Here is a 16,567-nt window from a genome sequence, read left to right as displayed (position 1 = left end):
TTGGCTTTTGTTGCCATTGTTTTTGGTGTTTTAGTCATGAAGTCCTTGCCCATGCCTGTGTCCTCAATGGTATTGCCTAGGTTTTCTTCTAGGGTTTTTATGGTTTTAGGTCTAATATTTAAGTCTTTAATCCATCTTGAATTAATTTTTGTACAAGGTGTAAGGAAGGGATCCAGTTTCAGCTTTCCACATATGGCTAGCCAGTTTTCCCAGCACCATTTATTAAATAGGGAATCTTTTCCCCATCTCTTGTTTTAGTTAAGTTTGTCAAAGATCAGATGGTTGTAGATGCATGGTATTATTTCTGAGGGCTCTGTTCTTTTCCATTGGTCTATATCTCTGTTTTGGTACCAGTACCATGCTGTTTTGGTTACTGTAGCCTTGTACTATAGTTTGAAGTCAGGTAGCATGATGCCTCCAGCTTTCTTCTTTTGGCTTAGGATTGTCTTGGCAATGCAGGCTCTTTTTTGGTTCCATATGAACTTTAAAGTAGTTTTTCCAATTATATGAAGAAAGTTATTGGTAGCTTGATGGGGATGGCATTGAATCTATAAATTACCTTGAGCAGTATGGCCATTTTCATGATATTGATTCTTCCTATCCTTGAGCATGGAATGTTCGTCCATTTGTTTGTATCCTCTTTTATTTCATTGAGCAGTTGGTTTGTAGTTCTCCTTGAAGAGGTCCTTCACATCCCTTGTAAGTTGGATTCCTAGGTATTTTATTCTCTTTGAAGCAATTGTGAATGGGAGTTCACTCTTGATTTGGCTCTCTGTCAGTTATTGGTGTATAAGAATGCTTGTGATTTTTGCACATTGATTTTGTATCCTGAGACTTTGCTGTTATCAGCTTAAGGAGATTTTGGGCTGAGATGATGGGGTTTTCTAAATATACAATCATATCATCTGCAAACAGGGACAATTTGACTTCCTCTTTTCCTAACTGAATACCCTTTATTTCTTTCTCCTGCCTGATAGCCCTGGCCAGAACTTCCAACACTATGTTGAATGGGAGTGGTGAAAGAGGGCATCCTTGTCTTGTGCCAGTTTTCAAAGGGAATGCTTCCAGTTTTTGCCCATTCAGTATGATATTGGCTGTGGGTTTGTCATAAACAGCTCTTATTATTTTGAGATATGTCCCATCAATACCTAATTTATTGAGAGTTTTTAGCATGAAGGGCTGTTGAATTTTGTCAAAGGCCTTTTCTGCATCTATTGAGATAACCATGTGGTTTTTGTCTTTGGTTCTGTTCATATGCTGGATTACGTTTATTGATTTGCGTATGTTGAACCAGCCTTGCATCCCAGGGATGAAGCCCACTTGATCATAGTGGGTAAGCTTTTTGATGTGCTGCTGGATTTGGTTTGCTAGTATTTTATTGAGGATTTTTGCATCGATGTTCATGAGGGATATTGGTCTAAAATTCTCTTTTTTTGTTGTGTCTCTGCCAGGCTTTGGTATCAGGATCATGCTGGTCTCATAAAATGAGTTAGGGAGGATTTCCTCTTTTCCTATTCATTGGAATAGTTTCAGAAGGAATGGTACCAGCTCCTCCTCGTACCTCTGGTAGAATTTGGCTGTGAATCTGTCTGGTCCTGGGCTTTTTTTGGTTGGTAGGCTATTAATTATTGCCTCAATTTCAGAGCCTGTTATTGGTCTATTCAGGGATTCGACTTCTTCCTGGTTTAGTCTTGGAAGGGTGTATGTGTCCAGGAATTTATTCATTTCTTCTAGATTTTCTAGTTTATTTGTGTAGAGGTGTTTATAGTATTCTCTGATGGTAGTTTGTATTTCTGTGAGATCGGTGGTGATATCCCCTTTATCATTTTTTATTGCGTCTATTTGATTCTTCTCTCTTTTCTTCTTTATTAGTCTTGCTAGCGGTCTATCAATTTTATCCTAGTCTCTGATAAAACAGACTTTAAACCAACAAAGATCAAAAGAGACAAAGAAGGCCATTACATAATGGTAAAGGGATCAATTCAACAAGAAGAGCTAACTATCTTAAATATATATGCACCCAATACAGGAGCACCCAGATTCATAAAGCAAGTCCTTAGAGACCTACAAAGAGACTTAGACTCCCACACAATAATAATGGGAGACTTTAACACCCCACTGTCAACAATAGACAGATCAACAAGACAGGAAGTTAAAAAAGATATCCAGGAATTGAACTCAGCTTTGCACGAAGCGGACCTAATAGACATCTACAAAACTCTCCACCCCAAATCAACAGAGTATACATTCTTCTCAGCACCACACCCCACCTATTCCAAAACTGACCACATAGTTGGAAGTAAAGCACTCCTCAGCAAATGTAAAAGAACAGAAATTATAAAAAACTATCTCTCTGACCACAGTGCAATCAAACTAGAACTCAGGATTAAGAAACTCACTCAAAACCGCTCAACTACATGGAAACTGAACAACCTGCTCCTGAATGAGTACTGGCTACATAACAAAATGAAGGCAGAAATAAAGATATTCTTTGAAACCAATGAGAACAGGCAACTTCTAAATAGAGCTTCCAGCTATGATAGTCTTGTCAGTAGTTCTTATTCTTAAAAATGATTGAAGATCTCAAAGATCTTTTGTTTACATGGGTTATGTCTATCAACACTCACCATATCAGGAATTAAAACTGACAAGTGTTCCAATATTTGTATATTGGAATCATTACTAATAATCAAATTACATATTAAAATAAGTATTTTTATTAAAAATCTATTTTCTAAAAATAGAAAATATTGAGAAGCATTATTTTACATTTTTTCGAATCTGTTATAATATCTGGCTGAACAGAAGAAAGTTGGATTCCCTATTTGTTTCTGCATTCAATTTTTGAAATACACTGTTTTAGTTGAAGTAAAGAAAATCCAGACTCATATAGATAGGTAGTTGGAAAGGGGAGGAGTATTTTAATAGTCTTTTTATATAGTTGTGGATATTTTTCTTTGATACTACACCACGATCTGAAAAATCATAGAGTTTTTCAAAGGTTATTTTCCATGAGCATTCTGAAAACTTGTCAGTGAATTTTTTGTACTGCTACATTAAAATCCATTGGTCTATCTTGCACACTGAATGGATCTTTCCCCTATGTATAATTTTGTAAACATTATTAATTGGTCATTTGGAAAATATTGGTTCACTGTGTTATGTAGATCTTCCAAATGTTGACATATTTCATTATACAGTATAAAAATCACATTAGTTAATATCACCAATTTTGCCAGAAAAGCCTTTAAATATTGAGAAGCTGTCAAGCTCACAGTACTAGATACGAGTTCTCTAAAAATCTAATTTTCGCTTGATCCATTGCCAATTTTATCATTGGCAATGAATACTATTAGTTATTAGCCTTGAAGAGACAGGCTCACTTTATTCATTTTTGAGAAATATAGTTTGTCAGTCACTCTTTCCAATAAAAATGGTGATTCATGAAAGAGAAAAATAAACCAGTTCAGCACACCACTCAATCACCCAAGTGTTTTTCCACAACCACTGTATTTCAGTATGTAACAGAAGTGCCTTATGAACACTTACTATTTTGACACAAAAATCATTAAAAAGAGGTATACTTAAGAATAAAGATGTAATATGTAATAAAATTAATAATTTTTACTACTTCAAGAAATTTTCAGTGGAAACTGGCATTTGTTTTTGATTATAAATTTATGACAGTGAAGATGACACAACTGCTAGTATAATTTGGTGCCACAAACTTGATTCACACTAAGGTGCCAGCATCTTCACCCATCATTGCTTTTCCAACTTCAATGCAAACATCAACACATGACCTGCCAACCTTAGGGTTTCTGAGGGGTTCCTATACCACATCTTCAGGAGTCTGCTGGTCTAGCTAATGTCAGTCCAACCCTCCCACCATCAACAACTAGAAAAGCTAGATAAATCACAAAAATCAACTATTTAAAGGTGTTGGAGAACTACCAGGGTAGCCTAGGACTTGAGGAACCAGGATTTCAGCCACAGTTCTTAAATATTTGTTGAATAAGAGTCCCTAGTCGTTCAGGGGTGGCCTAAAGCTGCTTAAAGTTGCAAATTAGGAATGAACTTTTTTTCAAAAAAAGAGGTAACCGATGTGATCATTTGTATGCACTTGCTCATTAACGGACTAAAAATGACTGGACATTGCTATGGTTAGGATATGGTTTGTTTGGCCTCAGCAAGTCTTATGTTGAAATTTGGTCCCCAATGTTGGAGGTAGGTACTGGAGGGAGGTGCTTGGTTTCAGAGTAGATCCCTCAGGAACGGCTTGGTGCCATTCTCTCCAGAGTGAGTGAGTTTTCGCTGAGTTCTCACTCTTAGTTCCCAAAAGAACTGATTGTTGAAAAGAGCCTGGCACCTCTTTCCCTCTCTCTCGGTTCCTCTCTCGTCATGCAGTTTCTGCACATGTGGTTCCCCTTTGGCTTCCCCAGAAGCACACGCTGGCTCCATGCTTCTTGCACAGCCTGCAGAACCATGAGCCAAATAAACCTCTTTTCTTTACCCAGCCTCAGGTATTCTTTTACAGCAACATAAATGGACTAAGGCAGAAGTACAGTACTGGAGAACCTGAAAATGAAAATCAAACAAGGCTGCCAACCTTTGAGCAGGAATCAGTGCCCATTCTCAGTCAATACAATCAGCCACACCATAAGTACACCCGCTGACCAAGAGATGTGTGTAAGACAGTATGAATCTCAGAAGTAGATTAAAAAAAAAAAAAAGTCTCTTGAGCTACTTGCACTTGACCAGAAAAGAGGTTGGGCTGGGCCCACCGAGGAAGCATAAAAATAAAGATGAACAGAAAATCTTCCTATTCTAATGTCCTCAGCACAATAACTAATAACTGATCCAAACAATAATTGTGCTGGGTAAAAGTATGGGCCAGTTTGTCTGAGGCATGACAGTCACCAGGTTAACTACCTTATCTCAAATTCAAAAAAGGAAGAATAGGTTAACTTGATGTCAAATAAACACAGTGCACCAAACTCTGTGGCAGACGCTACCCTCAGAAAACTGCTTAATACCATTGCTTAATAGAGTTGGCTCCACTGAAAAACCATCTCCAATCTTTCCACCTGGGCTGCCAAGTGATAAAACAAATATTAGAAAAGAATCATGCTCCTAAATCTTAGAGAATATTTATGAGAGTGAATGGGGTGAACAAATAAAGTCAATGGTAGAAAAACAATATGCAAGCCACTTCCTTGTTGCCCCAAGCAAATCTGTTGCTTAAACAATAACAACGGAATCTAATCAGTAAACCTCCCAGCTGCCAAAATTATACAAGCAACTTTACTATTTAAAATGTCACATTTCCCATCTGATATAAATATTTGCCTTCTGCTCACATTCCTGAAGTGTAAAACAAATTAGGCCCAAACTAAAATTCGCCTTGGCACCAACTATTTAATTTCTTTTCCCTTTAAATGACCCAGATTGTGCATTATGAAAATTGTAAAGCCCTGGTGGCCTTTTCAGTAATTAGAATAGATTGCTGAAGCCTAGGTTGATTTTCAGCATAGGCTTCACACATCATTCTATGTGTGGGAAGGTCTTGACGAGTTCATTCAAGTCTTGGTTCAGCCTCAGTAATCTTTTATACACAAATACAAGAAGGCTTGTTATCTGATTTCTGGAAAAATCATACTAGTAAGATGTTTTTATCAATATTTTAAAATAAATCTGGTAATTGAAAAATGTAACTTGAAAAAAATATTTAAAGAAAACAATGTGAAAATACTGAAGAAGGTAAAAAGGCGATTTAAAAGATTGACGGGCCGGGTGAGGGGGCTCACACCTGTAATCCTAGCACTCGGGCGGGCGGTGGGGCGGGGTGTGGCCGAGGCAGGTGGATTGCCTGAGCTCAGGAGTTCAAGACCAGCCTGGGCAACACAGTGAAACCCTATCTCTACTAAAATACATAAAAATTAGCCAGGCATGGCAGCATGCACCTGTAATCCCAGCTACTTGGGAGGCTGAGGCAGGAGAATTGCTTAAACCTGAGAGGCAGAGGTTGCAGTGAGCTGAGATCATGCCATTGCACTCCAGCCTGGGCGACAGAGTGAGACTCCATCTCAAAAAAAAAAAAAGATTGACATAACAAAAATCAGATCTGTTGGCTATGTTGGTTTATGTCAATATACAGAGTTCTCATACTGGTAAGAAGTGAAAAATTTAAACCATCACAAAAGCACCCAAAACATGTACTTTTGTGCCCTCTTATGAAATTTATTTTATATTGCATATGTATTACATGCAGACTAGAACCATTTGTCTCCACGTGTTATCCTCAAATTAATTATATTAGAATCATTGGGGGTGTCGGTTAAAATGCAGATCACCAGATGCCACCAAAGACCTTCTGAATTAGATTCTCTATTGGGAGGGAGATCCAGAAATCTGCATTTTTAACAAGGTTCCCTCCCCCAAATCACCCAAAACCCAAAACAGTGTGCTTCCTCTACAAATGTAGCTTCCTGACAAGTCCTTAGCTCTCCCTTCTAATCCAACTGGAGTCCCTTTGCTGCTCTCATTATAGAAATTCAGAGCCACTCAGGGTATTAAAGTTAGAGAACCTCTCCCTGGAGGATGTGATCCCTCTAGACCTCTGATCTCACTTAAACCAAATAAGTAAAGAATCTGCAACATCTGCTGGTTAATAGTGTGCTTGAGAAGCAATCCCTTCACGGAGTAGTGTGATGCTTGAAAGCAGAATAAAAATGTTCATTTCTTCCAATTACCAAAACCTCTCAAATTCAAGCAGCTGAAGAAGCTAGAGTAGAGGTTTATACAACCAATGTACAGATAGTCACCATCCCTAAACCAACTTTACCTAGTCACTTTAACTTCTGTCTGATTATAAATAAGCCATCCTCCCCCAACACTAATGACCATAAAACATGTTTATGACCACCTAAAGACAGTAAACAATAGTTAAACATCAACAACCAAACCTCCGTGGAAACTGCCCCTTCTGTAAAATTAGGCATTGACTTTGATATATTCTTGCATGTTAAATCAGGAATGAGTGTTTAAAAAAAAAAAAAAAAAACTTCCTGATTTTGAACATATTTCAAACATCCTTCGAGAAACAAAGGATACCTATGCCTATCCAGAAATGTTAACTAGAAAGAAAAAAGTTTTCCTCTAAATAAACATCAACAGACTAGCATGAAGCCTTTTTCAATCCAGCCCATGTGGAAAATGCCTCAGAAGAAACATTTACAATATATCTTTAGTATTAAGGGTTTAATTTACATAATAAATATTTTTAAAAGCAAAAAAATGGATTTTCTTTTATTTTCTTTAGAATAGTTCACTGAAGCCTGCATAGATTTTCAGCCTAGGCTTTGCATCTTATTCTACATGTGGGAAGGCCTTGACATTAGTTCACTCAAATCCACTGAAACTTGGTTCAGCCTCAGTAACCTTTAATACCAGGCAAGACAGCCTTATTTTTGTGATCAATTCTGATATTTTTATGATTTTTATGATTAATAGGTATTTTATGTGTCCCTCAAAAATAATTTCAGTTTACAAGACTGTACCTCTAGGAAACAGAGTTGACTTACAATGGCTCCACTTGAGACAATTACCTAAGAATCAATCCTGTGATGAATTGTTAAGGGGGAGAGCACATCTTTATTTCATTTAAGACCAAAGGTTTCACAATCTTCAAAAAGCTTTGACCTTTCAGGTGAAATTTTTGTTACTGAAAAAAATAGCTCACAACTTTAGTTCTTCCTGTCTTAGGAGAGGTGGAGGTAAGAATTGCCAAAAACAGGAAAGCTGTCTAAAGCCTTATTTGTAGTTTCTAGAAAGAGGTCAGGTAGTATAGAAAGGAAATAGAAAGCATACCCTCACTCATTTGGGGTTTAATCTCTTCATCCATGTCCAAATCTTCTAAATCTAGGAAATTATCTACCTAGAAAAAAGAATTAACATAATTTTTAAGCAGAATAGACCTAAAGAAAAACTGCAGTGAAAAGTCAACGAATCCACTTCCACAACACCTAACTGAGCAGCTGAATCCACTTTTCTCATTAACTCTTGAGTCCCAGCTCAAGGCTTTTGTGTTCACTGTGCTTTCCCAAGAGACATCTGAAAGAAGCAGTAAATTTGAAAGCTGGCCTGGATTTTGTAGGCACCATAGTCAGGCCTCTGCACTGAAAGGGAAAAAAGCAGTCTGAGAGTTTTTTAAAAGGGACTTTGTTCCAGATTCTATCCCAGAATATATACCACCACCATGACAGTTGAAAACAGTGTTTCTGGGTTTTGTTTTCCTTTTATTGCTTTTGCCTGTCAAGCAAATGGTGGCGGTGGCTCTGGCTACTGTCATAACACCGTGCTTTCTGATAGCACTCTGAGGAGCCAGAGAGAAGAAACTAAAGAAAGCAGGAGAGAAAAGTTCATTCAAAACAAAATCACAAGAGATGTGAGCAGGGCAAAAACTCAAGTGTTCTCTCTTTCGAGCAAATAAAACTGAAAATTACTTCAAAGGTAAAAAGCAGGGCAAATGACCTTTACAGACACAATAGCAGCATTTCAATGAAAAACTATTCCACATGGAATACTGCTTTCCACTGCAAGCTGACAATGAGACATTTTAGATTAACAAAATGGTAACATTTAGACATGAACTAATTCATCTCAAGTGAATATCAAAGAGTGTAAATAAGAAAATGATCTCACCACTGGCATGAATGAGACCTAGTAAAGGAATAAGGTTGCAATGCCTTTTATGCTCATGACCTAAACATGTGCATAATAAAATACCATAAAATTACAAATTTACATTTCATAATTGGAATTCAAAAGACAGGCTGGGTCTTTCTTCCCCCAGCTCTACTTGCGAGACCATAGCTATTACATAGGAATTTTAAATGGTACTGCCATTGCTTTTAAGTACATACCTGCAGTTATTATCTGGCATCCAAGTGAAGGCAAAAATTTATCTTCCACATAATGGTTTCACTACTAAATTTTGAAATTCTGTCATATTATATTGTTATTTACTTAGTGGTGTATGCTAATGGGGACTGGAGTCATGTTTCTCTATCAAAGCACCCCTTTCATTTATTAAGCTCTAAGGAAAAAAGATCCAGAACCCAGCTGACCAAGAATAGTTTAAGATATTCAAACATCAATTAATAAAAAAAAATTGTAAGGACAAAATCTGCTGAATTCTCCAACTTTGTATAAGGGACAGTAAATGAGTCCTGTGTTTTTAGTTTGTTTGTTGTGTTTTTGGTTTTTGCCAAGAAAATTGAAACATGCCTTACCTTCACCTTTTCTGCCCAATTCAGATCACCTTGAAAAGAACTGCCAATTTTTTGGCCTTCATCCATCACTATCTGAAAAAATACTTTTTGGCCTTCATCCATCACATATTGATGGAAAAATGAAACAACTGAAAATAAAGAAGCTGATCTTGTAGCCCTTCAGATGATAAAACTCCCCTTCCCGTTTTTGTTAATTAGCTGAGCATAACAGACCAAATTCAGTAAGCCATAGCGGAGGTCAGGGAATAGGTTTCAGGAGCTCTGATTCTACTTCTGTCCTGTAGACTCATCCACAGTGTAACCTATAATAGACTACTTAATCTCAGTCTTCTCATGAGTAAAATAGGAATACTCTCCACTCCTATCCCATCCCAATGAACCTCTGATGAACAAATCAGAGAATGGTAACACAACATTTTCAAGTTATTAGAAAACAATGTCATTCAACCATTCTCTGTTCCTCAAATGCTGGTTAAAGACTCTCTATATAATATAATCCCAATGGTCAGTCATTGCCAGTAAAGAGTGAAAAAAGTTCGTATCCCACAATTATCTCTCTGGAAGCAAGTTCAGGAAATAAAGAATTATAGGCATCTGCTGTATATAAACATATTTCTAACACAGAGATTTTTGTTCCCTTGTTAGAAAAAAACACAATATACAATTCTGTCCACAATATTGCAAGGAATACATGATGAAGCAGAAATTAGAAACTTAAATGGCTTAAAAAGCAGAACAGTTTCCACTATAATTCCTTGATAATTAAAAATCATAGCTGAGGAGAATGTGAAGAGTCTATAAAGTCTTCAAGATTAGAAAAAGCGTATCTAACATTTATTGACCAGATATTAGAGAAAAACAAGATAATCGATTCCATCTTGAGTTTGAAAGAGATGAATCTAGGACAGGTGAAAGAAAGTCCCATTTTACACAGAGAATTAGAGAAAGGAGCTCTTTTGTCCCAAATAGAAGACAAGCTAAAAGAAATAATTTCAATAATTTATAGATGGCAGATCCTTAAGAACTTTTGAACAAAAATTGGGGATAACCAGTTATCATCATAAACAATAGCTGTCAACATTATGAAATATATGTAATGATGACTTTCAATAAAGTGCCCCAATGGCACTCCTTCTAGAATTAGGAATTACAGATCTAATAACTGTCTAGTGTTTAGTAGGGTCTCTTTTTTTTGATTCATGAAGAATTCTTTTCTTCTGAGATTGTTTCTATACATGTACTATGTTGGTATTACCTGTTCTTCCAAACATTGTGATGAAGTACGAAGAAAGATGGTTTTATTTCTAAGATGGTAGTCATCTGCTTCATTTTTATGAGTAACTTTTGCTGAGGTAAAAATGTTTTCTGAAGAATCAGTTCCAAACACTCCCCTTTTGGACACATGATCCTCTGAAATAAGAAGTTATGCACTATTAGAAAACATCCACAATACCAAGTCTGGTTTATTTTGTGTATATTGAGAAAGTTTCTTCCAATGAAAAAGAATACTTTTCAAAGAACTCTACAAACCGAACCCTTGAGGCATTAAGCACTCTGAACTGTTAAAAGTGATTTCTAAAACTGGATAGAAAGATAACATTATGTCACTCAACATATATTTATTGAGTGCCTATTACATATCCAGCACTGTTCTTGGTCGCTGTTAAAAAGTTAATAAAATACAGTATTTGTGAGACTCTTAGACATGACCTATCACATCTTTTTCTAAATTTGAGGGATTTTTTTCTTTATATGAAAGCAATGTATGGATGACTTTAGAAAACTTATGAGGGAAAAAAGTAAAATATGAAAATCACTCATAATCCTACAAGCCAGAAAGGCCACAACAAAGTTTTTTCAGTGGCTATCTAATATTTTTTACGTATCCATGCACTTCTAAAAATCCAGAAGGAATCATACTGTACATAACTCAACTTGCCAGCAGTATCTCTTTTCAGGTTATTGAATATTCCATGTAATTTTAATAGTTATCAAGAACTCCTTTATATAAATGTAAGATAGTTTATTTAACCAATTCCTTATTCTTGACTGTTTAAAATTATAAACAATGAATATCTTTGTACTAAATCCATGTACATTCACGATTATCTACTTAGGCTGAGGAAAGCATCTAAGAGTAATCCTAAATTAAGAGACTAAGACAATTATATCATGATGCTATTAAAAGAAATGTGGGGGAAATAAAATGAAATAATTTTGATAAAAGATAATGAATGAATTCAGCTTTGGCCATATTGCATTTGAAGTGCCAGTTGAAATCGTAGTGGAAATGACCCAAAGGCAGCTGCAAATGTAGGTTAAAATCTGGGAGAGATTTCACAGGAGGTAAATATCTGTTCATCAATTACACTGAGGTAATAGTTTAAGCCATAACATTATTTTTAATATTAGTAATAATATTAAAATTAATAATCAGGGTTAACATTCATTGAGTGGCACTCTTTTGTGAGCATCTCATGAATCATTTCATTTAATCCTCAGAATACCACTAAAAGTAGACACTGTTACTATCCTTACTTTACAGATTAAAGAACCAAGGCCTACAGAGAGAGAAAGTAACTTGCTCAAGGCTATACAGATGGTTAAGTAGCAGAGTGGGGATCTGAACACTGCCTTCTGACTCTAGAACCTATCCTCCTAACCACTGTGCCTTGCTTCCTGCATTAATGCAGTAAATGAAAAGAAAAGGTCTTTAGAGAATAGAAGAAAAAAGGAGCAGAAAGGTGGGGGCAGGGAGCCAGAAAGGAGACAAAGAAGAATGGCTTACAATAGTCAAAGAAGAACTAAGCGTGCAGGGTACATTCCAAAACTGAAACTTGCTTCTTCTGACAACAGCAAGTACAGGAACCTACGTCAATGATCACTAAAAGAGTAAAAGAGTGATAAAGGAATTCAAAAAAAGTCAAGTGGCAGAAATCAAGCCATTGTTGGGTTGGAGAATCCTACTCCATCCCCTTACTAGCCTCTACTATAAAAATGTTCCAGAGACTCAGCAATTGTTTTATCTGTGAGTTCCTTAGGAACATCTGTAACTGAAGGGGTTACAGATAGCCTAACCCAGCACAGTGCCCATGTTTGTTTCTCTTGACCTGTCAGTGCATGGCATCAAAATCAGTGAGATTCATGTTGTTGTAATGATCACAGCCTGGTACAAATCCAGTTAACATCATTTGTTTGCTTCTGAATACCCTATCACTGGTAGAATTAAGACTTGTGAGGGTATCTTTAGGACATAACACAGATATACTGATGGGAAACAGAGATAAGGTGACCTAATCTATAATACGTCATTAATAAGCCAGAGAGGGAAAACACAAATATGAAATGCATCACGTTCTCTTTAAAAAGTTCACATCCATAAATAACACCAGCTCAGGCCAGCTCTCTACTACTGCCTACTGCACCAGCACCAGTGACTTCTAACTAGCTACTAGTGGGAGAGGTAGCCCTTGCCTTTTGCCTCAATAAATCCTTGGAAATTCTGGTGCGAAGCACCCAACCTTGGCTTCTGTGGGTGGAGGGCTGGGGGTTGCTGAGCAAAGTGTGAGGAGGGTTGCTAAGAATATGTTGGAGTAACCAGCCCTATACAAGATGAGATAAATGAGGAAGAAATGGTCTTAGGACTTAGTCTCCCTGACTTCTTCCACTTTTACGGCCACAGAGATGTCCTGTATCAGTCCTAGGGCAAACAGCATTGGTAGCAGAGTAGAGCAAGATAGGCATGGAGACACTTGGAAATAGGAGTTAACTGAAGGATGAAAGGGTTCCTCAAACTTCATCAATGTTCAAAGGAAAGCAGACTTCCTGTGGCTACTGCCATGCCTCAGTGCTCTATTCTAATAAAAGGTGAAACGGTTTCAGTTTTCCCTGCTCATCCTTTAAATCAAGTATAACCTAAATCTAGTAATTACTAAGAAAATACTATGTACCCAGCACAACACTATTGTAATAATCTATTGACTTAAATACTTGAAAAGCACAGCAATGTCTGAAAATCAAAGATGTTCTACAAGGACGAGTTCTATTTGTTCTCATGATCACTCAGTGTACTCTCTACTATTTCCAATAAAACACCCAGGTTATGTGACAGGTAACCAGATGAAACTCCTTTGAAATAAAGAGCAAAATATAATGAAGTCTCAGCTTCTGATCCTGATGTTGAACTACTGTTGGGATCTCAGGTCTAACAAAAATTCTCATCCACTCTTTTTAAAATTCTCCTTTTATAAACAGAAAGTTTTCATTTTTAAAAGACAGACTGGATGATGTAGAAAAGAACTTGTTCATTCTTGACAAAAGCTACAGTTTAAGGCTCCTTCCTAAACTTCAGAATTGGTTTCACAAGAATATATGCTATATCCCTCCTAAGACCCAGAAGTGCTCCTTCTAAAGGCTTTTATCGTTGTTTTTAAAATCCAGCAAATAATAAATATCTTGGCACAATGAGATAGGGAAAAAAGTTATTTTTCAATATGATAATGTCAAAATGGCAGATGCTGGCACAGCCCAGAATCTGAAGTGGATGAAAGTCTGATTAGAGAGCCAGATGCCACTTCCTATAGTAATCCTGGTGAAATCCAAATGTGCCACCCAAGGGTTCGTCTCATCTTCTTCTGTTTCTGTTTTTCATCAGGGTCCTCTTCCACCCTTTCATCTTATCCCTAATGTTTCTTGCTTTGAAATAAGTGTCAGACATAATACGGTTTAGAAATCTAACAGCAATATTTCAGAGAACAAGTAGGTTATTGAGACCTGAAAAAGCGTTTCTTTGGGCATTTCTGAGTCAAAACTTCAATACAGATGAGACGAAAGTTTTTTTCTAAAGGTTTTTCGAGGTTTCATTATTCTGAAGCAATGGAATTTCAATTTCCTTTTGATACTAAACAGACAAGCTTCCAACAGATCTCCCTTACAAGGCCCCCACCACACCTATAGGGTCTAATTTCAGACCAAAGAAAAAGGTTACACACCTTGAAAAGGTTGAAACTTTTGATGTCTTGATAAATTAAACACTAACCACATATTGATTATACATCTTTCAGATAAAAGTGATTATTTTTAAAGAACTCAATTTTGAAAGAAACTTTTTTAAAAATTCAAATTAATCTGTACAAAAGCCAGACTAGTGCCCATGCAATGAGAAGCATTATCACACTTGCAGGAGAATTTTCACAGATCAGCACAACCAACATTAGAATTCACAACCAAATCTGCCAGCAACCTCGGAGTGTCTGTTCTTCCACACTCTGGTCAACAGCAATATAAATCAAGAGCATGTTCTCAGTTGAGAGGAGATATTGAATATATTGCTAGAAGGAAAGAAAAATTCATAGGGGGACAATTCTGTGCAACACTAGGCAATTGCAAAAATCCTTCTGCAAAGAGAATAGGGGATAAGCAATCATGCTTATAACAAGGTTGGGTACTCTGAAAGTCAGGGTGTGATTTTTGCATTACACTCCTTGCCTAGAGCAATGTTTCTCTGGACAATAATATTTGCTCTTGATTTGTCCAGCCAAACTACTTCACTCCACTGCTTCTTGATCACATGCTCCTTGTTATCTGGCCTCCCCTGGAGCGATAGTCGTTCGAACTAAATAAGCAATTTAAAAACCAATCAATCATAAATCAGAATAAATCCAAAGAAGCTAAATTCGGCAGACAAATGCTTTGTCTAAATTCCCTTTGCAGTGCTCTGAATTCCAACTGTTTTATGTTCCTCATTTGAAAGGGCACAGGGAGGAGAGGATTACCTCAGTCTGGCCAGTCAGGAATAACTGTGCTTTCCCTGAGGCTGGATGATAATTGACTCATTATTCACAGTCATAGCCATCAACCTGCCAAGGCACAAATGCACAACCCTGGTCTGGAAAAATGTGTGTGAAAAATGCCAGATGAGGGACACAATAGCAGTAAGTTGAAACTTTTGAAATGTCCAGTGTTAGGCACTTACAGAGAGAAAAATATGAACAGAGTGTAATGTTTCTGAAAGCTTATTTTCAGACAGAAAAAAAAATTCTGTGTGGTGGCTGAGTTACGGAGCTCATTCAATCCAAAAGTTATATTCTGGTCATCAACTATATGCAAGGTGACAAAGACAGTTAAGACTCAGTCCTTGTTGTCCTCACAGAGTTTACAAACTAGGAAGTTAAGCCATACATGCAAACCACCAAAAGAGAAGGCACCGATGGCAGATGATATAAGAGAGATAGAAACACAAAGAATGGTAAAATCATAATTGGTTTGGCAGAATCACAAAAGGCTTCACATAGGACTAAGGCATCTGAGCTGGGCTTTGAAAGATAGCTACAATTTCAACAGGTGAGCACTGTGAAGAGGTCATTTTACAAAGGGAAAATTCCATGAGCAAAGCCCTCAAGGTGGGAACACACAAGGCCTGAGTAAGAATCGCCGATTATTCCAGGAAGATTTGGGGACACATGGACGGGGTATATTTGGAGGGCCCGACAAAAACTCTGTACTTGACCTACATCCTGGGGAGTCACAATTAGAGCTGTGCTCTAAGAAGACAAATGGATAGAATGGATCAAAGTGGTTCAGGTACTAGAGACAAGAAAGTGTGGAGCTACCATAGTAACCCAGGTGAGAAGTAAAGGGAGCTTCAGCTATGGTGGCCTGAAGAAATTTAGAAAAAAAAAAAAAGAGTTCGCAAGTGAGTTCTCTTTTGTTTTTAAAACAAAAATGAAGGCACTATCTCCAACTGGTTATGTTTCCTCTCCAGATATCACAGAATCATCACGTTATCTTTCCACTGCAATCTGTACTATACTTTTACATATAATTTGGCATGCCCTAGATAACTTTTTTTTTAAACAATCTCTGTGATGGTGGGTGCAAATACAGCATGATAACAACCTGTCAAGTAGAAAACAGTTTGGTGCCAAGAGGCCACACATACCCATCCCATAAAATGAGCTTACCTTCCCAACTAACTTAGTCAAGACCACAAAAGAGGTGGCCCACACTGGGAACAGATGCAGCATATTTGAGCATAGCCTCCTACGGCTCCAGAATTCCTAACAGAGCAACAGCTGCTGGTGACAATATCAACACAAGGTAGAATCTGTTACATCCAAGTTTGTTTCTTTTTTGCACCACAGCCCTTTTCTACGTTAAACTTACAAGTCTATGCACAACTGATTTATTTTCTTAATAGGTAATATTTACAGACAAGCAGGATCCTCCTAGTTCTTGAGCCAAACCCAGGATCACAAGGACACATGCTTATCTGG

General features: G+C 37.1%; 1 protein-coding gene across 13 annotated transcripts in view; it reads right to left on the bottom strand.

Annotated features, from left to right (window-relative positions):
* IFTAP (intraflagellar transport associated protein) overlaps positions 1–16,567 on the bottom strand; it is a 64,771-nt gene that overhangs the window by 15,286 nt on the left and 32,918 nt on the right. For 7 of the 13 annotated variants that reach the window (NM_001276722.2, NM_001276723.2, XM_011519885.4 and 4 more), the window contains 2 exons: positions 10,549–10,703; positions 7,870–7,936 (listed from right to left, as the gene is read on the bottom strand). The exons of 5 other annotated variants lie outside the window; for them this stretch is intronic. In NM_001276722.2, the coding sequence (NP_001263651.1) occupies positions 7,870–7,936; positions 10,549–10,703 (222 nt within the window). The remainder of the gene's footprint in view (positions 1–7,869; positions 7,937–10,548; positions 10,704–16,567) is intronic. One more of the 13 variants, NR_077243.2, reaches the window with a different exon arrangement.

The sequence above is a fragment of the Homo sapiens genome, chromosome 11, assembly GCF_000001405.40.
Source record: "Homo sapiens chromosome 11, GRCh38.p14 Primary Assembly".
Taxonomy (NCBI): Eukaryota; Metazoa; Chordata; class Mammalia; order Primates; family Hominidae; genus Homo; species Homo sapiens.
This window is presented reverse-complemented; position numbering and strand designations above follow the sequence as displayed.